Source organism: Homo sapiens, chromosome 2 (genome assembly GCF_000001405.40).
Source record: "Homo sapiens chromosome 2, GRCh38.p14 Primary Assembly".
NCBI classification, from domain to species: Eukaryota; Metazoa; Chordata; class Mammalia; order Primates; family Hominidae; genus Homo; species Homo sapiens.
The window spans coordinates 26,637,359-26,662,343 of NC_000002.12; the positions used below are offsets into that span (position 1 = coordinate 26,637,359).

At 47.8% G+C, this 24,985-nt stretch overlaps 1 protein-coding gene across 3 annotated transcripts in view, besides 1 other annotated feature; it reads right to left on the bottom strand.

Annotated features, from left to right (window-relative positions):
- CIB4 (calcium and integrin binding family member 4) overlaps positions 1 to 4,008 on the bottom strand; it is a 60,162-nt gene extending 56,154 nt beyond the window's left edge. Inside the window, exons 1-2 of one of the 3 annotated variants that reach the window (NM_001029881.3) lie at positions 3,903 to 4,008; positions 3,175 to 3,209 (exon numbers count right to left, since the gene is read on the bottom strand). In NM_001029881.3, the coding sequence (NP_001025052.1) occupies positions 3,175 to 3,209; positions 3,903 to 3,956 (89 nt within the window). In that variant the 5' untranslated portion in view covers positions 3,957 to 4,008. Of the gene's footprint in view, positions 1 to 281; positions 1,282 to 3,174; positions 3,266 to 3,902 lie in introns of those variants that run through there. The other 2 variants (XM_011532514.3, XM_017003329.2) reach the window with 2 other exon arrangements.
- Positions 18,191 to 18,906: an enhancer, noted in NCBI's record as "OCT4-NANOG-H3K4me1 hESC enhancer chr2:26878417-26879132 (GRCh37/hg19 assembly coordinates)". NCBI's record gives its function as "activates a minimal SCP1, AML or CMV promoter by ChIP-STARR-seq in primed H9 embryonic stem cells {active_cell/tissue: H9 hESC(primed)}" and the evidence as "EXISTENCE:reporter gene assay evidence [ECO:0000049][PMID:30033119]".

Here is a 24,985-nt window from a genome sequence, read left to right on the forward strand (position 1 = left end):
TGTAAAATTTTTGTTGACCTCTCTCATCTGCTGTCATTGCTTGTGTTCTCTTTGTCCTTATGGGTTTCTTTCTTCTTCTTTTTGTTTTTTTTAATTCCTTTACTCTCCTTTTAGTAAACAGAGGTCAAAGAAAATGCTCTATTCTCCACGTAACTGGAAGCCCCCTGAACTTTGCTTTCTTAACTTAATAATATACCTTGGAGATGGCTCTATATCAAACAGAAAGCTCTTCCCCTCCTCTCTAAGGGCAGTCTTCCACAGAGGGATGAATCAGCACTTACTTCACCTGTGTCCTCTTCATGCAAGTGGAATGGCTGGGTCAAGGTGTACTTCTCATTTTGAACTGGGACATTTCAGCATCTCCTGCCTTCGCTGGTCCTCTTCCACTCTTCAAAGCTCTTGACAGCTATTCCACATTCTCAGCTGCTTCCCAGGCTGTGGTCTCCTGGGTCTGGAGACTCCCCTTGGTTTAAAGCAGCAGAGGGCTCTCACTGGTATCACCTTCCCATTTGAGAGTTTCTGCACTGCTGTCCCTGGCCCCACTAGTGCTTCTCACTCTGTCTTATCTGAAGGTGTCCAAGTAATAGGAGTTGGATACTTTGCCCTCTACTCTGCCTTCCTTATGCAGTGGCGTCCCCAACCCCACCACCCCCAGCGCTGACGCACGCCGGCCTTTGAGAGTGGGAGCCTCCTGAGCAGGAGCTACCCAGGGGCAGGCACAGGCCCTTCATGCTCAGGAATGGGTCTCTCAAGAGAAGGGGCAGGACAGAAAGAGCTTTAAGAACTGCTTGTTAGAGAAGTTTGCACTGAACCATGAACCGTGAACTGTGAACTGGAGCCTTCCCTGGCAGCACTCACAGGGACCCACCTCCCCAACACAACGCGGAGCCAAACTGTGCTCTTCTCCGGGGAAAGGCACCTTCCACAGGGATGGAAACAGACTGGAAACAGGATCTGGGAGGAGGTCGTCTCAGGTCCTGGGTGGGAGGTTCAGAAGGGAGGCGTCCATAAGCATGGCTCGCTTCCAAGGAACTCTTTCTCCGAAGGCCAAGGCAGAACAAATGAAAATGGAGGATCGATGTTCGAGAGAGAGCCTGAACCCTTCCCATACTCCTCTCACTCCTCTCGTCCACCACCCCATGCTCTCTCCTGGCATATAGGAGGAACCCCAGGGGTGGATCCATGAATGCCATTTGAAGCCCCTGGGTTAGAAAGAGGGGCAGGCATGGCCATGCCCCCTTGCTGAGAGTACAAACTGGTGCAACTCCTTTGAAGGACAACATTGTCTCACCCATCGAAGTTCTAAAATGTAGGCCGGGTGCAGTGGCTCACCCCTGTAATCCCAGCACTTTGGGATGCCAAGGTGGGAGGATCACTGGAGGTCAGGAGTTTGAGAACAGCCTGGCCAACATGGTGAAACCCTATCTCTACAGAAATACAAAAATTTGCCGGGCGTGGTGGCAGGCACCTGTAGTCCCAGCTACTCAGGAGGCTGAGGCAAGAGAATTATTTAAACCAGGGAGGCACAGGTTGCAGTGAGCCAAGATTGCACCACTGCACTCTAGCCTGGGAGACAGAGCAAGACTCTGTCTCAAAAAAAACCCCAAAAGCTTAAAAAAAAAAAAGGTACAGAACAGTATGAAGGGATAAATGCAACCATGTGAATGGGGTAAAAGGAGGATAAATGTGTTGGCTTATGTATGGAAAATTCTTCCAGAAGGCTAGATGGTAAGACAAACCAACAGTGAGCAGAGGCGGCCTTGAGGGAAAAGGACTGGGAGGAGAGAATGGAGACATTTTCTTTTCACTTAGAACTTTTACACTATTTGAATTTTCTTTTTTTTTTTTTAAATTATATTTTAAGTTCTGGGATACATGTGCAGAACATGCAGGTTTGTTACATAGGTATACACATGTCATGGTGGTTTGCTGCACCCATCAACCTGTCATCTACATTAGATATTTCTCTTCATGCTATCCCTCCCCTAGACCCCCACCCCCCAACAGGCCCCAGTGTGTGATGTTCCCCTCCCTGTGTCCATGTGTTCTCATTGTTCAACTCCCACTTATGACTGAGAACCATTATTTGAATTTTGAATTTTCTAGCCAGGTAGCATTTTTTTTTAGATTTCATTTTATTTTTATTCATGTGATACTTTTCAGAAAATTTCAATAGAGGTTATATGGGTAGTAGGATATGGGTCATTTGGAGTTATGTCATATTTTTCTATATTTAAAAAAGTGAGTGAATATTATTTTCAAAAGGGAAACAATGTCACTGGGTGACAGCCCCTGGTTAGCTCCCCGTGCCCTGGCCATCCCCCATCCTCATTTGTGCCTGGAGAGTCTTGCACTTGTGACAAAGTTGTTACCTGCCACCACCAGACCCTGAGTGGGAAATGTGGCTTCCGTGTGGTGACTGGGGAGGGTTAGTCCAAGCAAAGATGATGAGAGGGAACCTTCCCCCACCTTCCCCTGAAAGTGTCTTGGTGAGCTCCTTTATTCATCTAACAGGTTTTGTTGGGCACCTGGCTTGGCCCAAACACACAAACACACACACACCTCTCACACTATTCACTCTCCCCCACAGCCCCACGAGAAGGGTATTTGGCCACCTCCACGTTGAATGAAGTTTCTTCCCCACTGGACAGCGGTCCGCATGACAACAGGGAGCGGGGCTGCTCACCACCCCACCCTCAGGGCCTCCACGAGGCCAGCACATCACAGGCACCGGAGAAAGGGCAGGGAGGGAGGGAGGGAGGGAGGGAGGTGGAGAGGGAAGTCTGGGCTTCAGTCATGCATCCAAGTTTACCCAGCCAGTGGACAGCCAAAATGGGCTTCAGACATAAGTTCCCCAAGTCCTTTCCTTGTTCTCCTCATTATTCCAAAGAGGTTCTGTCCAGCTCCATGATCCTCTGAAGAAACCTCACTTTGGATCCCAGTAAAAGGTTAGCAGCCTAAAGCCTGGTGTCTCATTCAGCTCCAGTGGGGCTCTGCGGATCGTGGCCCCTGGGCCCTCCCATCCCTGCCTGCCGTGTCCCAGCCCCATCTCCAGGGCTGTGTGGCTCTGAGCAGGGACCACACTCAGGGACCAGCGTGAGGCTGTATTAGGGCAAGAATCCAGCTCAGAGGGAGGAGCTGGGAGAAGGAAAGAGGGGCGGGGCTTCTACTCACCACAGAATTTCATTTCTGGTCAGGAAGGTCAGGGCCTGCAACAAATCACAGAGAAGCGACGTGTCCACTCCATTCATCCCTGCTGTGGCCCCTGGGGAGTGGCGCAATTCAGAGGCTGGGGAGGAAATGCCCATTCTTTTGCTGCACAGCTGGGGGAACCCCAGGTTGAGGTGGATGCCTGAGGTGGCAGCAGGAGAGGAAATGGTGCTCTTTCTTACCCCCTAGTCTCTTACAGCCCTGGGAAGGAGGGCATTGGCACAGATGTGGAGAGCAGATCAGAGACAAGAGTGAAACTCTGGGCTCTGGTGCAGGAGACAGATGGAGGAAGGTAACCTTAGAGATCTCATCTGGGCCACATGGATGCAGATTTAGCAAAGAGAGGGACCACCGCTACCCCGCCTGGTAAACTCTAGAGCAAGCTTGTCCAACCCACGGCCTGCAGGCCACATGCAGCCCAGGACAGCTTTGAATGGGGTCCCAACACATATTTGTAAACTTTCTTAAAACATTATCAGATTTTTTCGTGATTTTTTTTTATTAGCTCATCAGCAAGCATTAGTGTTAGTGTATTTTATGTGTGGCCCAAGACAATTCTTCTTCCAATGTGGCCCAGGGAAGCCAAAAATTGGACACCCCTGCTAGAGCGTCAGGAAGGAATTTTCCCATTCATTCCACCTGCTTTAGGAAGCTCCCACCTCTGCCCAGAGTCCCTAGCCCGATCTACCCACCTGGTACTCTTCCAGGTCCTCCCAGTGCATCTGATACCTCAAGCATTGCCCCATGCCAACCACACCTTTCTGTCTGCCAGCAGTAGAACCTCAGCCTCAAGGACTCGCCAGCTGAGGCACCTCGTTGATCCAGTTGCCATGGTGACCTACATTCCACCTTCTGCCCATTCCACCTGAGTTACTGAGTTGGCAAAGAAACAAATTCTTTTCATTCCCATTCCACCTGAGTTGCTGAGTTAGCAAAGAAGCAAATTATTTTCAATCCCAAAGCTAAGAGGCATCAGTCCCATACAACAAGCAGAAAGGCAGTCCAAAGATGGGGCTGAGAGTCACACTGTCAGCTCAGGAGTCACAGTGCCTGGGCTCCAATCCCAGATCCACCCCATTGTAACCTGGGACAAGCTCTTCAATATCTGTGTGTCTTAGTTTCCTCATCTGTAAGTGGGGATGATAATCATGGGATTGTTGTGAGGATTGACGAATACAGGGAATAATGTCAGGCACATAGTAAGTGCTCAATAAATGCTAGCTATTTGAACCACAACCTAGCTGGGCATGGTGGCTCACGCCTCTAATCCCAATACTTTGGGAGGCCAAGTCTGGTGGATCACTTGAGGTGAGGCGTTTGCTACCAGCCTGGCCAACATGCAGAAACCCTGTCTCTACCAAAAAATACAAAAATTAGCTGGCATGGTGGCATGACCTGTAGTCCCAGTGACTCCAGAGGCTACGATGGGAGAATCGCTTGAACCTGGGAGGTAGAGGTTGCAGAGAGCCAAGATCGCACCACTGCACTCCAGCCTAGGACCCTGTCTCAAAAAAACAAAAAAACCCTACAACCTGCTGGGTGCAGAGGTGCACACCAGCACACCTGTAGTCCCAGCTACTCAGGAGGCTGAGGCAGGAGGATCGTTTGAGCCCAGGAGTTCATGGCTGCAGTGAGCGATGATCATACCACTGCACTTCAGCCTGGGTGACAGAGCAAGACCTTGTCTCTAACAAATCAAAATAAAAAATAAACAAGGAACCACAACCCCAGGACTATGCCAGGCATGGGGATGCCGAAATATATCAGCATAGATCCAACCTCAGGGAGTGGCCCAAAAAGTACAGAAAAGGGCGTTCCACCCCATCAGTCAGGGTCTCTGCAGGAACAAAGGGCACCATCAAATCAGGATCATGTGAAAAGGGTCTAAAAAAAGGACTCTCCACAAAGATGTGTTCAGGGTGTAGGGAAGTCACATGGATAACTGGATAACACAGACTCCTGAGCCCAACAACAAAGAGCTGCTACCCGACCCAGCACCACCCACCTGGAAGCACCACCCCAGCCCCACTCTCTCCTCTTTCTGTGATCTCCTACAGGGAAGAGAACAGGGCGGAGCAGGATGGGCAGACAGAGACAACGTCCAGCACAGGCATCAACATCACAGGCCAGGAGGGCCTTCCAGAAGCCATCACTCCCTCCCCTGCCTCCAGGAGGGTCTGCACACCCACCTTTGTCATGAAAGGCTGGTCTCCTTGTTCTAGAACACATCTTCCCTATGCTCTCCTGAGTAAACATCCCAGTGATTCTCTGATGACGCTTATTTATATCTCTGAAGTGCAACTGCCTGCTTTTTCTTTGACTGTCCTCCATGGGGATAGAGCCTGGCAGAAGGAAACCCGGGGCCCTCATTCCTTCATCTGCTCACCAGACACAGGTAGAATATCCACAGTGTGCCAGGGACTTGGCTTGACCCTGGGAGAGAGAGGACTGAACATGACTTCAACCCTCAAGGAACGTATGCTCTTCATGCTCTTTTAAGGGAGTAAGAAAAAAAAAAAAAAAAAAGAAATGTGTGCTCACCACACACACACACATACACACACACACATATATACACACACTAAAGCAGATGGAGGCAGATGTCACAGACGGGGAAGAGTACAGAGTTACGAGTGTTTAGAAGAGGAAAGGCTTGCTGGGCACCAAGCTTTCATGTAGGTGGTGGCATTTAAGTTGCTGTTATCATGCGGTGGTTAAGAACATGGGCTCTGAAATCTGAAAGGCCTGGCAGCATCTCTTCTTACTGCATCACCTCAAGCAAGTCATAAAATACTGTAAGCCTCAGTTTCCTCATCTGTAAAAGGGGAATGATAAATCCCTACTTCATAAGTATTGCAGGCATAAAATAAAATGATGGGTGTATGTGAAGCTCTTATTTAGCAAGATACCTGCTATGTATTGAGTTCTCAATAAAGGGTAAATTACCAGCCTGGCTAACATGGCGAAATCCCATCTCTACTAAAAATACAAAAATTAGCCAGGTGTGGTGGCGTGTGTCTGTAGTCCCAGCTACTGGGGAGGTTGAGGTATGAGAATCGCTTGAACCCAGGAGGTGGAGGTTGCAGTGAGCCAAGATCGTGCCTCTGTACTCCAGCCTGGGTGACAGAGTGAGACCCTGTTTCAAAACAAACAAAAATAAGGGTAAATTATATTACTACTTTTAAAAGTTGGGCCTGGGCCGGGCATGGTGGCTCATGCCTGTAATCCCAGCACTTTTGGAGGCCGAGGCAGGCAGATCACCTGAGGTCAAGAGTTCGAGACCAGACTGATCAATATGATGAAGCCCCATCTCTACTAAAAATACAAAAATTAGCCGGGCATGATGGCATGCACCTGTAATCCCAGCTACTCAGGAGGCTGAGACAGGAGAATCTCTTGAACCCAGGAGGCAGAGGATGCAGTGAGCCAAGATCTTGCCATTGCACTCCAGCCTGGGCAACAAGAGTGAAATTCCACCTCAAAAAAAAAAAAAAAGAGTTAGGCCTGGAAGGAAGGGTAGGACTTTTGCAGGCTAAGCCAGTGGTCAAACCCCATCTTCTGCTAACCCCTTTGAGCTTCTACCATCGTTGATTAAGCAGCTTCTATCTGCCAGGTGTGTGCATGTAAACTGTCTACATTCAGGCTCAAGCAGCTCATTGAGGGCAGTAGGGTGTCCTTGCTTCTTTGCTCTAGGGAAGGCGGAGGCTGGTGAGGTGAAGTGACGCTCTTGGGTCAGTCAGCTGATAAGTGGACAAGATGTGGGTCTGTGGATTCCCAAAGCATGGGGCAGGAAACTTGGGGAAGCCAGATGATCTGCAGGATCACACCCAGAAAGCCACTTCCTTCTCCAGCCTCAGTGCTCCTCATCACATCGAGGTGCAAGTGGCAGCTTGGCACTGGCTGGTTGTGACTTTGACACCTGGCTGACACTTGCCAAAAAGAAAACAAAAACAAAAGAGAGAGCTGCCCTGGAGCCCAGAGCTTTAAGCTACTGACTCAACCACTATTCATTGAGCGAGGTAGTGCAGACAGAGGTGAATGAGACAGATGATGTCCTGCCCTCACAGATCCAGACGCGCATATGTGCACCCACATCCCTTAGACAGCCATACGTGCTGCGGAAGAAGGAAAGCAGGGAGCGGGGGAGAGAGGGTGTGACGATGGAGGTGCTGGTGGTCATGGAAGCACCGGAGCAGAGACCTGAGTGACGGGGACGAGTGAACCAGGCTAAGAAATCAGGGCCAGTTGCACAGACCCAGATGACCACGGGATCCAGCGAGAATTTAATAACACTGGTTTTCATTATATTTGTTTATATAAAGGTATCTTCCATATTGAAAATGATGCAGGTTTGCCATTTATTACTGTGATCTAAAGTTTCCTCTATAAACATATCTGTTTAATTAAAAGAAATAGGAACCTATTCAAAAATATTAAGTAAATAATTATACAGGTGGTAAAGAAATATGCCAGAAATCATGAATCTCTCTCTCTGTGTCTCTTTTTCTCTCTCTCAGTCTCTCTCTCTCTCTCACTCACACACAGACCCCAAGGTTTGCAAACTCTGCTACCCTTCTCTCTCCTTGATCTTTCATCCCCCTAACTCCCCAACCCCTGCCTTCCCTGCACCCCCGCAGGCTCTGTCATTTCATCACAGAGAGGGTTTTCATTGGTTCCTACAATAACAATACTAACAATAAGAATATCACTTTACATTTGCATATTCCTTTATAATTTCAAAATGCTTTTTTATGTACCATCTCATTTGTCCCAGAAATAAAAGCTAGTGTTCTTTAAAAAAGAGAGAGAAATCCTCCCTCCATATGATTCTGCCTTTGATACACTAACCAACCTGCCTCTCTATCCATCTCCAGCCCATTACATCCCTTAAACTCCTCTTCAGCAGAGATTTTGAAAGGGGTATAATTGAGGAGGGAGGAGGTTCTGGGGAAGGGCAGTTCTACATCCTTCTCCTCCAGGATCCACCTCTGCAGGAACCCTCTGTGTGGAACAGAATGTATTCTTTGCAAGGTTTCTGTCACCTTGCAACTTACAGTTTTACAGACCGGTAAAACTACAACCCCGGCTCCGACCCTGATTTAGGTGTCTCTTAGAATTCGAGAAGAGTTGAAAAGAAACTTGCATTCAGAATATATAAAAAATTCTCACAATTCAACAATAAAAGGCCAAATAAGCCAACTTAAAAATGGGCAAAAGATTTGAATAGACATGTAAGAAGATACATAAATGGCCAATGAGCATATAAAAAGAAGCTCAACATCAGTAGCCATCAGGGAGACGCAGATCAAAAGCACAGTGAGATACCTCTTCACACCCACCAGCATGGTCAAAATCAAAAGAACAAGTAATAAGCGCCGGGCGTGGCAGCTTATGTCTGTAATCCCAGTACTTTGGGAGGCTGAGACGGGCGGGTCTCTTGAGCCCAGGAGTTCAAAACCAGCCTGGGCAACATAGTGAAACCCTGTCTCTACAAAAAATACAAAGAGTACCCTGGCATGGTGGCACGCACCTGTAGCTCCAGCTACTCGGGAGGCTGAGGTGGTAGGATCGCTTGAGCCCGGGAGGCAAAGGTTGCAGTGAGCTGAGATTGTGCCACTGCACTCCAGCCTGGGCAACAGAGCAAGACCTTGTCTCAAAACAACAACAGGAAAAAAAAAAAAAAAAACAAGTAATAAGTGCTGATGAAGATACAGAGAAATCGAAACCCTCATACATTGCTGGTGGGAATGTCAGATGGTGCAGCCGCTTTGGGAAAGAATTTGGCAGCTCCTTGCAGCTTTAAGCAGTTGCTGTAGGACCCAGCAACTCCACGCCCAAGTATGTCCTCAAGAGACATGGAAACAATGTCCACACAAAAACTTCACACGAGTCTTCATAGCAGCATTATTCATAATAGCCCCAAAGTGGAAACAGCCCAAATGTCCATCTACTGATTAAATGAAATGCAGTATATCCATACAGTAGGGTATTATTTGGCAATAAAAAGAAATGAAGTACTGATACGCGCTACAATACGAATAAATATTAAAAACATTATGTGAAGCGAAAGAAGTCAGTCACAAAGGACTATGTATGGTGGGATTCTATTTATAGGAAATGTCCAAAATAGACAAATCCATAGAGACAGAAAGTAGATTGGTAGCTGCTGGGAGCTGGGGGGTGAGGGGACTCAGGGGTGACTGCTTATGGGCATGGAGTTTCTTTCTAGGGAGGTGAAAATATTCTGATCTTAGATGACGGTGATGGTTGTACAGCTGTGAATATACTAAAAACCATTGTGTTGCATGATTTTAAAAAGTGAATTGTATGATATGTCAATTATATCTTAATAAAGCTATTTTTTACATGTCAAGGGGTTAAGTCCTAACTCAGTGCCTCACCATAAGTATAATTAAAGGAATGTGTACATGGGAGGATATATTTGAAACTATTTCAAATCTATTTCCTCAGCCTGAGTCTTGCAGCCCAGGGGGCTCCTCCACTGCAGTAGTCCCATGCTGGGGACAAAGGTGGATCCTGTTGAGGCAAGTCGCTCCCCGGCTCCCAACATCAGTTAGACTTTTGTTTGAGTTTCCAGCAAACAAGCAGGCTGAAAAGCTATGCTCTGTCTGGAGGGAAGATTTTCTAAATTCCTTTTGTGTGGCAAGAAGCAGGCCTCGGGGAGCAGATCCTGATTTCTATGGGGGCCTCCTGAGTAGACAGGAAGAAAAAGGATGGCAGGGCTGCCCTGCTGGTCTTGGGGAGAGAGGAGCTGAAGAAGGCAGTGAGGAAGTGAGACTGCCCTGCACTAGCTATCCAGGGATGGGGTGGATGGGGCGGGGCTGCTTAGGAACATCCCTGAGCTCCCTGGGCAGGGGTCTTGGGAGCCTGCACATCTCTAGAAGCCTGCCTCATGCTCTTATCCACTTCCAGCTGGATGCAGGGTGCAGGGTGCAGGGTGCAGGGCAGGAGTGCCCGAGGCAGAGCGCCTGGCTTCCCTGGCCTGATGGCACCAAGCAGGGACCCAGAAGCTCCCACATGCCCCAGGGAGGGGGTGCAGAGGGCCTGAGAGTGCAGTGGCCTGTCAAAGTCCTGGCCAGGATGGAGAGCCCACCAGGTACATTTCCTAGGGTCAAACGGGATGCCATGGACTCCCACAGCAGTGTGGAGAAGGTGGCAACAATATCTTGAAATTTAAATCTTCGTGTTCTTTCCCCCATCTTCTCATGAGAGACATTTTTTTTTCTTCAGTCTCCCATTCACATTGCCTGGGGGAAAAGCAGAATTGTTAGAGTGTGAGGGAAAAAGCTAGAAGCAGCCTATGCTCCTTTTTTACTAACAAATCAGATATTTAAGAATCGGGGGGAAGGTGAGGGAAGCAGAGTCTAAAGTTAATAAAAGGACAGATGAGGAAGACAGGGAGGAAGCACCATGTCACCAGGGAGCCTGAGTGAGGGTCTCCAGACGGTACCAAGAGCATCACCATTGCCAACCCTGGGAGAACTACTCACTGCCCAGGGGAGGAGGGGGAGGAGCCACATGGACCAGCACTGCCTCATTGTGGGGCAGGGCACCCATCACAGCATCCAGTCCTCAGGGACTGCCCAGCAGAGTGACAGTTGCTTGTATCCCAAGGCTTTGCTGAGCCCCATCTGAATTGCCCCGGTAGAGAGGCATCCTCCATTTCCAATGACACAAGACACCAAAAAGCTCCCCAGAAAAGCGGGTGAGGGGCCTTGACATTCAGAGAGCAGAGGGTTGATGGGGGTGTGGGAGGAAATCCCAGCACTGGTTCTTGGGCAGGGTTGGACAGCAGTCATCCTGCCCTTTTGCAATTTGCATTAGATGCCCTGATGCTCCAGGCGACACCTGATTTCAGGTGCTGCTACATGGACAGGTTCCTGTGAACCTAGTTCTTCCCTCACTGATCCGGTGTTGCCTCAAGGCCTTGTAAGGCCTCATTTTCTGCCTCAGAACCTTCTGTATCAAGTAGACCCCTCAGGCTATAGTTACACACCACCCCGCAGTTCAGAGCAACACTGACCTTCAACCAGTGGGGCTGGGAGCTGGTAGAGAAGCTCCCTCACCTGTACTTCTGGGTGACAGCTCTGGAGGGGTTCTGTGGCTTCTCAGCACGTTCTGGTGGAGTCAAGGCCTTTAGACACCTGGAGGTGACCTAGACACACCTGGACGCCCACCTGGGCTTCTCCTCTTTCCCACCTCTCTCTCCCCAGCCCCTTATTCCTGCTCTGGTGTCAGCTCTCAAAAGCCCTGGTTTCAGGCTGGGCGCAGTGACTCACGCCTGTAATCCCAGCATTTTGGGAGGCCCAGGCATGCAGAACACCCGAGGTCAAGAGTTCTAGACCAGCCTGGCCAACATGGTGAAACCTCGTCTCTTCTAAAAATACAAAAATTAGTCAGGCATGGTGGTGCATGCCTGTAATCTCAGCTACTTGGGAGGCTGAGACACGAGAACCACTTAAACCTGGGAGGCGGAAGTTGCAGTGAGCCGAGATAGTACCATTGCACTCCAACGTGGGTGACAAGAGCAAAACTCCATCTCAAAAAATAAAAATTAAAAAAAGCCCTGGTTTCAGGTTCTGCTTTGGTGTGACACAAAGTCACACGAAGGCTAAGTCACCCCGGTACTGTTAAGAGCCTCTGGTGACGCTGCCCTGCTACTTATGCTGAAAGTGGGGAGCAGCTATTTGAGAAGGGGACTCCAAAAACTTGCTTTCTGATTTGGGTAGGTCTGAATTTCTAAATCTAAAATGTCACAGACAAACCTTAGAGGTCATCTTGTTGGACCCCTTCGTTTAACAGATGAGAAGACTCAGGCTGGAGAGCCTTACCAACCAGCATGTGGAGCTGACGGCAGAGCTGGCTCAGGAGCCGGCTCCCTGGCTCCTTATTCCCCAGGGGCCTCTCAGAGCTGCTTGTTGGAGGTCACAGAGCCGGTTTAATTCGATCCCATCTGTGGAAATGCCTTGTAAACTGTGAAGCATCATAAAAATGCTATTTGTCATGATGTGTGCCAGACCTGGGACTGGAACCCAGATCTGCCGGCTCCCTGGACAGCAGAAGATGGCATTAGATACAATCGCTTATTTTCATAGTCTCACCCTCAGACACTGGCTAACTAAAAGCCCTCTCCCAGCTGCCCTGACTGCCAAGTGCTCCCTACACGGCCTTCTGCTGGGGGCCCGGGGCTTGGGGTATGGCCATCTGCTGTCCTTGTCCATCTTTTATTCATTTATTCAAAAAATTATTTACAAGTCTTTTAAGGTACCCCGGGTAATTTGCTAGTGCTGGGGATAAAGTGGTGACCAAGACAGACACGGTTCCTGGCCTCAGGGAGGTTAGAGTCTAGTAGGGGAGAAAGCGAGGCAGTGATCTCTCAATTAACGAAGAAGACTGTGCTGGGCGCTATAAGCAGAGTGGAGGATGCAGTGATGGTGAGTGATCAGGGGCACCTAACCAATTATGGACGTCCAAGAAGCTCCCCTAAGGAGGGGCCATTTAGCTGGGACCTGCAGAATGAGCAGCAGAGAGGCAGACATGGGGGGAGGGTGTTTCCTGGCAGGAGAAGGGCACGTGTGAAGGCCTGGGCAAAGGAGCTCCTGGTGCTGGCAGGACAGAGAAGGCCCAGTGGATGCAGTGTGTTCAAGGTCAAGAGTCAGGAGAGACTGGGAGGGGGCTTGGGGCAGCCCAGGCAGACCAGTGGCTCCTTGAAAGTATATCTTCAAAGCTTTCTGTTAAAAGCAGTGGGAAGTCGTTGGAGGATGTTCTGCGGAGAAATGACATCATCCGATTTTTGTGTTCAAGGGATCATTCTGCCCACAGGGTGGCTGGCCAGCATGTTGGAAGGAGGCCAGCATGGCTCTAGGGGACTGTGAGGGGACTACTGAGTAACCTACATGAGGGCACAGTCTTGGGGACAAGGTTGTGGCTTCAAGAAGGGGAGGATGACTTCATGTGACGTTTAAGGTGGAATCGGCAACACGGGGAGATTGGATGTGGGAGGGGAGGGAGCAGGAATTGTCACGGTGACCCTGGGGTTTCTGACGTAAGCAGCAGGATGAAGGGAGGAGATGCAGATCTGGGTAGAAGAACAAGATTTTGGACGTGTTGAGTTTGAGATATCTGTGTGGCAGCTGCATGGAGACGACAAGGAAGCACTTAGATACGTGGGGCTAGGGGCTCAGAACAGAGCTCTGGGCTGCAGACAGGCATTCAGGAATGTTTAAAGCCATGATTGAGATCAGCCAGAGAGCTCAGCAGTGGCAGAGACATGGTTCCTGCCCTCACGGAGCTTACATTCTAACGGATGGATAGAAGACTTCACTTTCTGCAATGTCAGAGTAGCTCCTTAGAGGCCAGTCCTCCCACCAGGAATGAGCTGGATAAAGTCCAAAAGCTGTCTGTTGAGGGCAGCCAGGCTGGAGAGGGCAGGGTCCCCGGGGGAAGGGAAGCCTGTGGGTAGCCTCAGAGCCACTCTTCCCCTTGAGGCATCTGCTGATTCATGAGCAGCATGGGGGCCAAGAGGCTAAAGCCAAGCAGAAAGTGTGGATAAGAAGCTGAGAACTTGAGTAGGAGACTTTGGCAATTTCGAAGGGCTGGGAGATAAATTTGGAGTTCAAACTACAAGACAAGCAGACCTGGGGGCCAAGATGTCTGGGGAAGAGAAGCACGTGGAGGTTAGCTTCTAAGGCCCCTTTCTCTGGAAGGCATTCACGGATCCGTAAGCAGCACCCAGCCAAGGAGTGAAGCATGGCTAAGAGACCGGGAAGCTGAGCAGAGTTTTTGGCAGTCTCGTGGGGCTTGGAAGACAGACTTGGAGTTGAAGGCCCACCAAAGAGGAAGAGCCCTAAAGAACAAGCCAGACTTCCAGCGAGAACCTCAGATGGGTTACACACCAGGAGGCAGGGTGAGCTGGAAATAGAGCGGCCTTCAAAAAGCCTGACAGCTTCAAACCAGCTCAACCGCAGCCTGGATTACGAATGACCTTCCCTTCTCTAACTGCCTTCCGGAAAATGAAGTAAATCCTCCATGATGAAGGACAGCATCAGTCGGAGCCAAAAAGTATCTCCGTCACAGAAACAGCCCTGCAGGTGACCCAGATACTGGAGCTCCCTGACACAGACTTCAAAATAAGTGTGATTAACATAGTTAAGAAAACAGATGACAAGACGGAGAATTTCACCGGAGAACTGGAATCTATGCAAAAGTATCAAATGGAAATTATGGTGGAATGGGTAGAATTTGGAAATTGATAGTCTTAAAGAAGGGCTAACATTTTTCCATACAGCTGGGAGGAAAGACATCCCAGGGGGAAGTAGGTGTACCAGGAAGCCCCACGGTGGCAGCCTGAAACAGGGTGGATTGTGTGGCGGGGCGAGGCGGTGGGGGAGAGGGACAGGGGCAACAGTGTTCCGTGGAGGAAAATTCAAAAAAAGGACAGTTGGAACCACATTATGCTGGAACTTGAATGTTGGATGATGAAATTAGAATTCTGTTCTGCAGACGGAATGAACAGTAGTTACGTTTGTCTGTGTCTCTGCTTTTGGTTTGTCTCTGGGTCAATTTACAAAAAGTAAAAAGTGATACAGTTTAAGTTCTTTTTTTAATTACTCTTTTTTTTTTCAAACATTAGGAGATACAATAGCTGTATCAGTACTTAAAGCACTTTGATCTGCTTCTCCATCCCTCAAAAGTTTCATCTTTTTGGCTATTTGTTTTTTCTAAAAACTATGTGATGAGCCTATATTACAGTTTCGGACTGTAAGATTCAACTTTTAAACAAATTTTGTTATTGAGCAAGACCTTTTCAGCTGGTTTGTTTTGTCCTTCCTTTACTGACCTTGTAAACTACTTAATTGCGAAATGTGGTTTGTCTCAGAGTGCCTCTTAACATTGTATTCTTTAAAACAGGAGATTTTTCCATTGCATGGGAGACCAACAGCAACATCTTCCACACACCAAGCAGGGTTTGTCTTTCCACTTACTTAGAGACATATGGTTTTCATCAGTCACTTCTCTCTTCTTGGCAGCCACCACGGCAAGGATTTAAATTTTATTTAGCAAATGGCCCACCCCTCTCACACCAAGCCCCTATTTGCTCTTCTCCCTCTTCCTCTGTCTCGCAGGATCCCGCCTCTATTCCCATTCCCAGAGAACATCAATCTGCCTGCCAGGCAAACTCAATCAACTGAGTTGCCTCCATCAGCCACCCCTGGCCAGCAGAGCCGGAAGCAGGAAATCAGCCCAAAGGCCTCTGGGAGTTGCAGCGGACCGAGCTGAGTCTGAAGCACCTCTAGAAGAGAGGGTTCCTGAATCTCAGCTCGTTGGCCAGCGGGAGCTAGTCTTCACTGCTGCAGGGACAGGGCTGCAGGCAAGGCCAGTTTTGGGCCTGGAGGCTGATGACGTTTGGGATGTTCGCCCCCAGTGCTGATGCAGGGGGGCGGCCAAGCTCCAACCCCTTGCACAGGCAGCCCAACCTCTGCTCCCATCAGTTCCTATCCTTCCTGGAGTCACTGGTAGGAAGACACAAGCCTCCCACCTTAGTCACCTTTTAGGTTAGCAGTGAAGTTTGGGAACCCTAGCCCATCTGACCACCCTTCCTCCTGAGGCTATCTGAGCCGCCTTATATGTAGACAGACAGAGGTACCTGAGTCCTGGTGAAACTGCTGGAAACTAGGTGGTAAGAGACCCCGGTTGTCCAGTATCCTTACCCACCTAATTGACTGCAAAAATGATCATTTCTACCTCCATCCCCACCATTTACCCTCGTCTGGCACCCTGCTCTCCCACTCGGACCAATGCGCCTGCCCCTGCATGGCCCTGATTCTCCTCTGGCCTCTCTTTAGTCCATTCTGCACGAAGGCAGCACGATCTTTAAAAACAAATCAGATCATGTCAGGCCCCCACAAAAACCTCCTTGATGGCTTTCCATGGCACTTACCACAAAATACTGATACCTTGCTATGGCTTACATGCAACTGCCTGTCTCTCCAGCCCCATCCTGAGTGGCTCTCTGCCTCACCCACTGCACCCCAGCCACACCCCAGGGGGCCACCATCCTGGACATCCCAGGCCAGGAGTTGGTGCAGCCTTCATCCCTCCAGCTGAGGCAGCACAGCCTCTGCCCTCGCGGGCCACCTGTCTCCAGGCACCATAGTGAACTCCTACCAGAGGTAAGGTCATCCCCTTCCCAGGACTCCACTGTAGCTCTCTGGGCCTTATCGAATCCAGCCCCTCCTTTTTCAGATGACAGACAGAGGCCCAAGTAGGGAAAAGAGGTTGTCCAGCACTTGGAGTGAGCTGAGAGCAGAACTGGCCTGTGTCTCGCCTCTCAGAGCGGGCTTCTTTTTCTTCTGCAGGCTGCCTGCTCAGAAACCACGGGGCAGCCCAAGGAGCAGGCTGTAGTTTGTGCAACCCTTGAGAGACTGAATTCCAGTCTGACTACTTCCACCCTGGGCCCAGGACACAGTGCAACTCTGGATGAGGCAGGTGAACGTGTCTGGAGTGCTTCTCATGAGCCAGGTGCTCTGCTAGGTGCGGGGGACTTGCCAGGGCTAGGGACCCTGGGTCTGAATCGCACACTGGGAGACCCTCAGCCACACAGAAGCAGGGTGGCATGGGAGACTGACCCCAGACAAGCAGCAGGGCCCTAAGATCTCCCTGGAGGAGGGAAAAGAGGGCCTTCTTATGGCTCAAGGTAGCCTGTGGCTGATACTCCAGCTTGGGAGGCAGAATGGGGACATAAGGGCTTGGGCTATTTTGAGAAGTCTCGTGTACTGGGGAGGTAGGGTGTGGCTAGGGAGGTGCTGACAAGTGCAGGATAGAGCCAGGTGGGGTAAGATTTATCCAACAAAGCAGGTGGGGCTGATGGAAGCATCTCTGGGCTATAGTTAAACTTGAGCAACAGAAAAGAAAAAGCTGCTATTTAAACAACCAGCAAAATTATTCTAGCTTCTTCTGCCTTCTAAGGGGGTGGTATAATTCATATCAAAAGGATGATGCATTTTTTCATGCCTGTAGAGGCTGCTAGGGAAAGGAGTTATGACGGATAATTTGGTAGTGTTAAAGGAAAAAGTAATTTCAAAGCTGGTCTTTAGCGGGTTTCTAAGCAGACAGAGATGGGCCCAGATGCAGTCTGGGGTGGGGGATGGGGGCTGACTACTCCACAGGAGAGAGGAAAAGGATGCTATGGGAGTCTGGCTGTGGTGTGTGTGTGTGTGTGTGAGAGAGAGAGAGAGAGAGAGAGAGAGAGAGAGAGAGAGAGAATGAGTCTGGTGGAGGCTGGGCCTCAAGGAGGCAAAATGGCTCATGGGAGCGGGGAGGTGGGTAGAGGACACAGCCAAAGGAATATCAACCTTAAGGTGTTTTCTGTGCTAAAATGCAATGTAGCTCTCCCAATTACACACAGGAAAAACATGGTTCATATGCCTTATGCTAGAGCTACTTGGAGGAAATCAAGGAAAACAATCTATGTTTTACATTTGTCTTGATACAAGGCAGAAATGATAGCAGCTGAGGGAGGGAGGGAAGGAGGGAGGGAGGGAGGGAGGAAGAAAGGAAGGAAGGAGGGAAGGAAGGAAGGAGGGAAGGAAGGAAGGAGGGAAGGAAGGAAGGAAGGAAGGAAGGAAGGAGGGAAGGAAGGAAGGAGGGAAGGAAGGAAGGAGGGAAGGAAGGAAGGAGGGAAGGAAGGAAGGAGGGAAGGAAGGAAGGAAGGAAGGGGAAGGGAGCGAGGGAGGGGGGAAGGAAGGAGGGAAGGGAGGAAGAGAGGACTGGATTTCAGTAGAAACAGGATATCAGAGTAAAAGGTCCCCAGAGTTATTGCAGGAAACCTTGTGTTTTCCTCTATTGTGGGTTGAGGGCTTGATCTATTTTCTCTTAGATGAAAAGCAAGGTGGCCCTATAAGGCCATAGGGCTTAGAACACCAAAATGGCGGACACTTGGGTTTTAGTTTTGCGCGTAACTTACCAAGTGATCAGCAAGAAGAAGAGCAGAACTTGGGGAGGTTCAGGGCAGTTGCTATGGGGCAGGAGGAGATTCATCATCTAGGAGTCTAAATCCAGGTCTGTTCTGTCAAAGGCAGGTCCTCAGGTCACCTTCACGAAGGTGATTATAGAAACCCTTGTAGGATCCGGCAGGAAATAGGCATGCTCTTCCCTGCTTCCCACACACATGTGTGCACCCACCGCCCACACCCCCTCCACCCTGGCCCCCCGCAAACCACCTCAGCTTAGATAAGGATAGGTCTGACTCTGTGTCTCCCCTGCCCCCTTCCTTTTGCTGTTTCTTAAAGCAAGAAAAGTGGCTTTGAAGCCACTTTTAAATTATGGATCAACTCATTAGCAGCCAGTTAAGATGACTGAGTGGTTTCCTCAGTATTTCAGGGCAGCCCTGGGATCCTTTTGGCTGTAAATGAGGACACATTCCTTTCCCTACCACTTAGAAACAGGTCGCTCAAGGCGCTGACCTCAGAAATCCCCATATTCAAGAAAAGTTGCTTTGTTCTTTTTCTTCTTCTTTTTAAAAACAGAGACGGAGTCTCGCTATATTGCCCAGGCGGGTCTTAAACTCCTGGCCTCAAGTGATCCTCCTGCCTCAGCCTCTAAAAGTGCTGAGATTACAGGTGTGGGCCACCATGCCTGGCTTGCTTTGTTCTTTTTTTTTTTTTTTTTTTTTTTTTTTTTGAGACGGAGTCTCGCTCTGTCGCCCAGGCCGGACTGCGGACTGCAGTGGCGCAATCTCGGCTCACTGCAAGCTCCGCTTCCCGGGTTCACACCATTCTCCTGCCTCAGCCTCCCGAGTAGCTGGGACTACAGGCGCCCGCCACCGCGCCCGGCTAATTTTTTGTATTTTTAGTAGAGACGGGGTTTCACCTTGTTAGCCAGGATGGTCTCGATCTCCTGACCTCATGATCCACCCGCCTCGGCCTCCCAAAGTGCTGGGATTACAGGCGTGAGCCACCGCGCCCGGCCTTGCTTTGTTCTTTATAGAAGTGTAGCTACTTCTTGGGAGGGGCACTTGAGGGATAAAAGAGTATAAATTGGGTACAATGTATACTGCTCAGGTGATGGGTGAACTAAAATCTCAGAAATCACCACTAAAGAATTTATCCTTGTAACCACAAACCAATCGTACCCCAATAACTATTGAAATTAAAATTAAAATTTAAAAAAAAGTGTAGCTACTTCCAATCATGCCTGGCCCTGACCAGAGTGCCCTCAAAAGGCCTCACCAACATCCAGCCCACAGGTATCAAGTTTATATCTCGATTTCTTCAGAGAAGAGTCCATCATGTACTTTACTGCAATACAAGCCTAAGAAAGCAGGGTTCCTCAGGGAACTAATGTGGGCATCTCCATCCAGAGGAGGGTGACCAGGGAGGAGGGGGATCTAGAAACCATCTCAGAAGTAAAATGAATTTGGGATTTTTTTTTTTTTTTTTTTGAGATAGAGTCTCACTCTGTTGCCAGGCTGGAGTGCAGTGGCACAATCTTGGCTCACTGCAACCTCTGCCTCCTGGATTCAAGCGATTCTCCTGCCTCAGCCTCCCGAGTAGCTGGGATTACAGGCACATGCCACTATGACCGGCTAATTTTTGTATTTTTAGTAGAGATGGGGTTTCACCATGTTGGCCAGGATGGTCTCGATCTCTTGACTTCATGATCCGCCTGCCTCAGCCTCCCAAAGTGCTGGGATTATAGGCATGAGCCACCGTGCCCGCCTGAATTTGGGATATTGAGTCTAGGGAAGAGCCAATCGGGAAGAACATGCAATTATTAGTGAGGACTCTCACTCCTAAGTGAGAAAAATCCAACCAAGTAAGTTAAGCAAGAAAAAAATGTATTGGCTTATGTAAAAGGGCAAGTCAAGTAAGCTTCAGGAATGGCTGGATCCAGTAGCTCAACATGTCCTCAGGGTTCTCTAAGTCTCTCTCTCCTTCACCTGATCGTTTCTACTTGGCATTATCTATGGCTGGATCTTGTGCCTCAAACTAAATCCCTGGGGCTCTGTCTCATGCCATCTATCAAACATTTTCTCTCCACATGGCAAGAAGCCTTCTTGGTCACCAGTAGCACTAGATTCTTATCCTATCAGCTTAGAGACCCCACCAGAATGAATTGGTTTCCTCTAGAAGCTCTTTTGGGAAAGTCCTAGGCCCAAACTTGAATCACAGCCCTGTCCCTGAAACAGTACCCATTGCCCGATCAGGCATTCCTGTTGGCCTGGCCTGGGTCATGAGCACACTCCCTGGTTTTGAGAAGACTGCAGTCAGCTCTGCCTTTCACATGAAAAAGGTTCCCCACAGGAAAGAGGGGTTCTGTTACTGCAGCAGGGGTGGAAGAGGTGCTGGGCAGATAAAAACAGCAGACGTCCACTGCAGCTGTCTATAAATTCATGAGAAATCCTGGGGTGTTTCCCTGTAATGCAAGTTTGATCACACCACCATCTTGCTTAATATCCTTCAGGGGCCTACAAGGTAAGTTCAGCTTCCTTCAAATGGCATGCAAAGCTCTCCAGGCTCTGGCCCTGGCACCCTGCTCAGGTTCACCTCCAACCACTCTCTGCCCACCTGCCCCCCGGTCCCTGGCACATCCCACCCAGAGCCAGTCAGGTCTCACTCTGTCCTCCCATGTGCCAGGCTTTCTCCTAATTCTACAGCACACCCAAAGGCAAATTAAGAAAAGTTTCCTGAAATCTGAGGGGGAAAAGAAAAGTACACACCAGAGTGCAACCTATAACTGTTCTTAGAAGTGGCTCTGCTGAGAGCACCTAGCCCAGAGCTAACTTCAAAGCCATGGCCGGGTGCAGTGGCTCACGCCTGTAATCCCAGCACTTTGGGAGGCCGAGGCGGGCAGATCAATTGAGGTCAGGGGTTCGAGACCAGCCTGGGCAACATGGCAAAATCCCGTCTCTACTAAAAATACAAAAATTAGCTGAGTGTGGTGGCGCATGCCTGTAATCCCAGCTACTTGGGAGGCTGAGGCATGAAAATCGCTTGAACCCAGGAGGTGGAGGTTTCAGTGAGCCAAGATCGTGCCACTGCACTACAGCCTGGGCGACAGAATGAGACTCCATCTCAGAAAAAACACAAACCCACAAAGTCCTTCACAGGCCCCCTCCCCACCTCACCCATCAGCTGCCTGGAGCTGGAAGGATAAATCTCCTCCCACCACCAGGCCTATCGCAACTATCCCCTTCCTTGGAGTCCAGGTCTAAGCAACTCTCCCCACCTCCCCAGCCCCAGGAAGTGTTTTTTTACTCTCACTCACATCTAAGATCTGCCTCCCAAACCCTCTTGCCTGCACCAGAATTAGCCTCTTTCTTGCATTACTGATAATAGGGATATCAAAAAAATGATAATAAAATACTGGCTAGGATATTTCCCCAAAGCTAGGATGGGCAGGTTAAAATAGCACCTCAGTGGGACACCAACTCCCAGGTCCAGGATGGACCGAGCAGAGCCCCGTCGGGCTCATTTGCACTTTTTCTCCAGCCTGAGCTGAAGAAGTGAGCCCTTCTCTCCCACATTCTTCTCCACCGCAGCTCCTTATCTTGTGCAAACAACTGATCCCAGAGTAACACACAACATTGCAAGGACACATCAATTTCAGGCATAAGATAGTCACATTCCAAATTAGGAGATGGTGGTGCTCTAAATAAAACAATCCTCAGAGACATAATTCAACAAATTCATTAAATGTATATTACTAAATGGTATTAACATCTCAGACTAAGTAATCCCCTTTAGAGGCCCGTCAGTGCTTTCCCATACTCCCCAAGAATGATAGGTAGACCCTGGCTGTTTTATACTAGCCTAGCTCAAAGGATCAACTCTAGTGGTGCATTCCAAAACAAAAGAACATCTTCCACAAAGCATTCTAGTCTCCACCTGAAAAGGCAGACACAGTTTATGTTCCTAAAATGTCATTTTTTCAATTAAAAAAAAAGAAAAACATCAATTTACTGTAAAGTAACTTTTAATTCCATAACAAAGGACAACAAGGAGAGAGAGAGAAGGTGAAGGTTTGACTTCAAGATTTTGTTGTAGGAGACCTATTAAGACATTCAATCAAAACTAAAATTTAATCCGATATGGAAGTTTCCCAAACCTGTTCCAAACAGTGAAATGTTATATAATTGTAACGTTTTATAACATTTTATATAAAACTTCAGTTTAAAACATAGCTAAGCTCAAAAGCAAGAAAAAGAAAATTTCCAGGTACCAGAAATGAAGCAGAAACCTGTAACCACAGAGGGTCAGAAAGGGCAAACCCCCAAAAGAGTAGGAGAATAGTGAGATAACCCAATAAGAAGGCCTTAATAAGTCAAGGCACTTACAGGATTCCTGTGAAAAATAACACCTATTGAAGATGAGCTCACACACAAAAATTATAAAACAGATAGGAAAGTCCAATGCCAAGATAGATATTCTACTGACTCTGCAAATGGAATAACTAACATCAATGGAACTAGAGACTAAAAAGTGATCTGAAAAGGACCTTAAGTTTGATTAAGAGATGAAAGAGATAAAGGAGATTCCCATATAACAAGAATAGAAAATTATAAAATAAGAACAAGAAAATAATGTCTAGCTATAATAGTGCATTTTTCTCTTTTTCCTTGCAGTTCTATCTCATTTTGCGTCATGTATTTTGAGTCAGCTTTCTTATTAAGTGCATGTACATTTAGGATTGTTATGTCCTGTTGATAAATGGATCCTTTTGTCACTATAAAATAACTTTCTTTTTCCTTGGAAATATTTTTTACTCTGAAATCTGCTTTGTATGATAGTAATATAGCCACTCCAGCTTTCTTTTGATTAATATTTGCAGGACATATCTTTATGCAATTTTTCTCTTTTGACTTATTTATGACAATATTTAAAGTGGATTTCTTGTAAGTGGTATATAGTTGGATCATGATTTAAAAAAAAATACAACCTAACAATCTATGCCTTTTAATTGGGGTGTTTAGATCATTTACATTTAATGTGATTGTTGATATGGTTGAGTTTAAATCTACCATTCTGCTGTTTGTATTCTAGTTATCCCATTTCTTCTTTGTTCTTTATTTCCTCTTTTTGAGTTACTTAATATGTTTCATGATTCCATTTATCTTAGGTTTACTTTATTTCTCAGATATCACATGATATCTATTTATCATAGATCTACCTTATTCTTTTTAACCTCAGTCTAGTATTCCACAGTATGGATATACCATAGCTTATTTACCTATCAATAGAAACTTAAATATTTTTTCAAATTTTTATTGTTATGAGAAATACTGTAATTAATACCTTCATGCATGCCTCTTTGTTTTTTGTTTGTTCGTTTGTTTTGTTTTTTGAGACAAGGTCTCACTCTGTCACCCAGGCTGGGGTGCAGTGGTGTGATCTCAGCTCACTGCAACCTTTGCCTCTCAGGCTCAAGTGATCCTCCCACCTCAGCTGCCCAAGTAGCTGGGATTACAAGTGCATGCCACAATGCCCAGCTAATTTTTGTATTTTCTCTAGAGACAGGATTTTGCCATGTTGACCAGACTGGTCTCAAACTCCTGGCCTCAAGCAATCCACCTGCCTTGGCGTCTTAAAGTGCTGGGATCACAAGCATGAGTCACCATGCCCAGCCATGCCTCTTTGACCCTCTGTAAGTATTTCTGTAAGATCAAATCTCAAAAGTGAAATTTCTGAGTCAAAAGATATGCATATATTCATTTTGATGAAGGCTGTTAAGTTCACTTCCAAAAAAGATGTATCTGTTCTTCTCACTAATAGCATTTTCCTACATCCTTGCCAACCTTAGATAGAATCTTTTCTTTCTTTCTTTCTTCTTTCTTCCTTCTGTCTTTCTTTCTCTCTCTTTCTTTCTCTCTGTCTCTCTCTCTTTCCCTCCCTCTTTCTCTTTCCTTATTCTATTGGAGGAGGGGCTGTCATTACTGTTTAATTTGTGTGCTTCTGGTGATATTAAACATATTTACATATATTTATTCACCATTTGTACTTTTTCTGTAAATTGCCTGTCATTGTGGGCTGAATTATGTCTCCCCAAAATTTGTATGTTCAAGTCCTTACCCCCAGCATTTCATAATATAACTGTATTTGAAGATAGGGCTTTAATTTTTATTTTATTTTCTTATTTTTATTTTTATTATTGAGACAGAGTTTCACTCTTGTTGCCCAGGTTGGAGTGCAATGGTGTGATCTTGACTCACTGCAACCTCCACCTCGGGGGTTCAAATGATTCTTGTGCCTCAGCCTCCAGAGTAGCTGGGATTGCAGGCATGCCACCACCCCCAGCTAATTTTTGTATTTTTAGTAGAGACTGGATTTCACCATGTTGGCCAGGCTAGTCTTGAACTCCTGACCTCGGGTGATCCACCCACCTCGGCCTCCCAAAGTGCTGGGATTGCAGGTGTGAGCCACCATGCCCGGCCAAGACAGGACCTTTAAATATGTAATTAATGTAAAATGAGTCATATGGGTAGGCCCTATTGCAATATGACTGGTGTTCTTAGAAGAAGAGGTTAGGACACAGACTTCAGCACACACTGAGGAAAGACACAGCAAGAAGGCAGCCATTTGCACACCAAAGAGAAAGGGCTCAGAAAAAACCAAACCTGCCAACATCTTGGTCTTGTGCTTGCAGTCTCCAGAGCTGTGAGAAAATAAATTCCTGTTGTTTAAGCCACCTAATCTGTGGGATTTTAGGTTATGGAAGCAAACTAATACACCTGTCCATATACATTGCCCATTTTTCT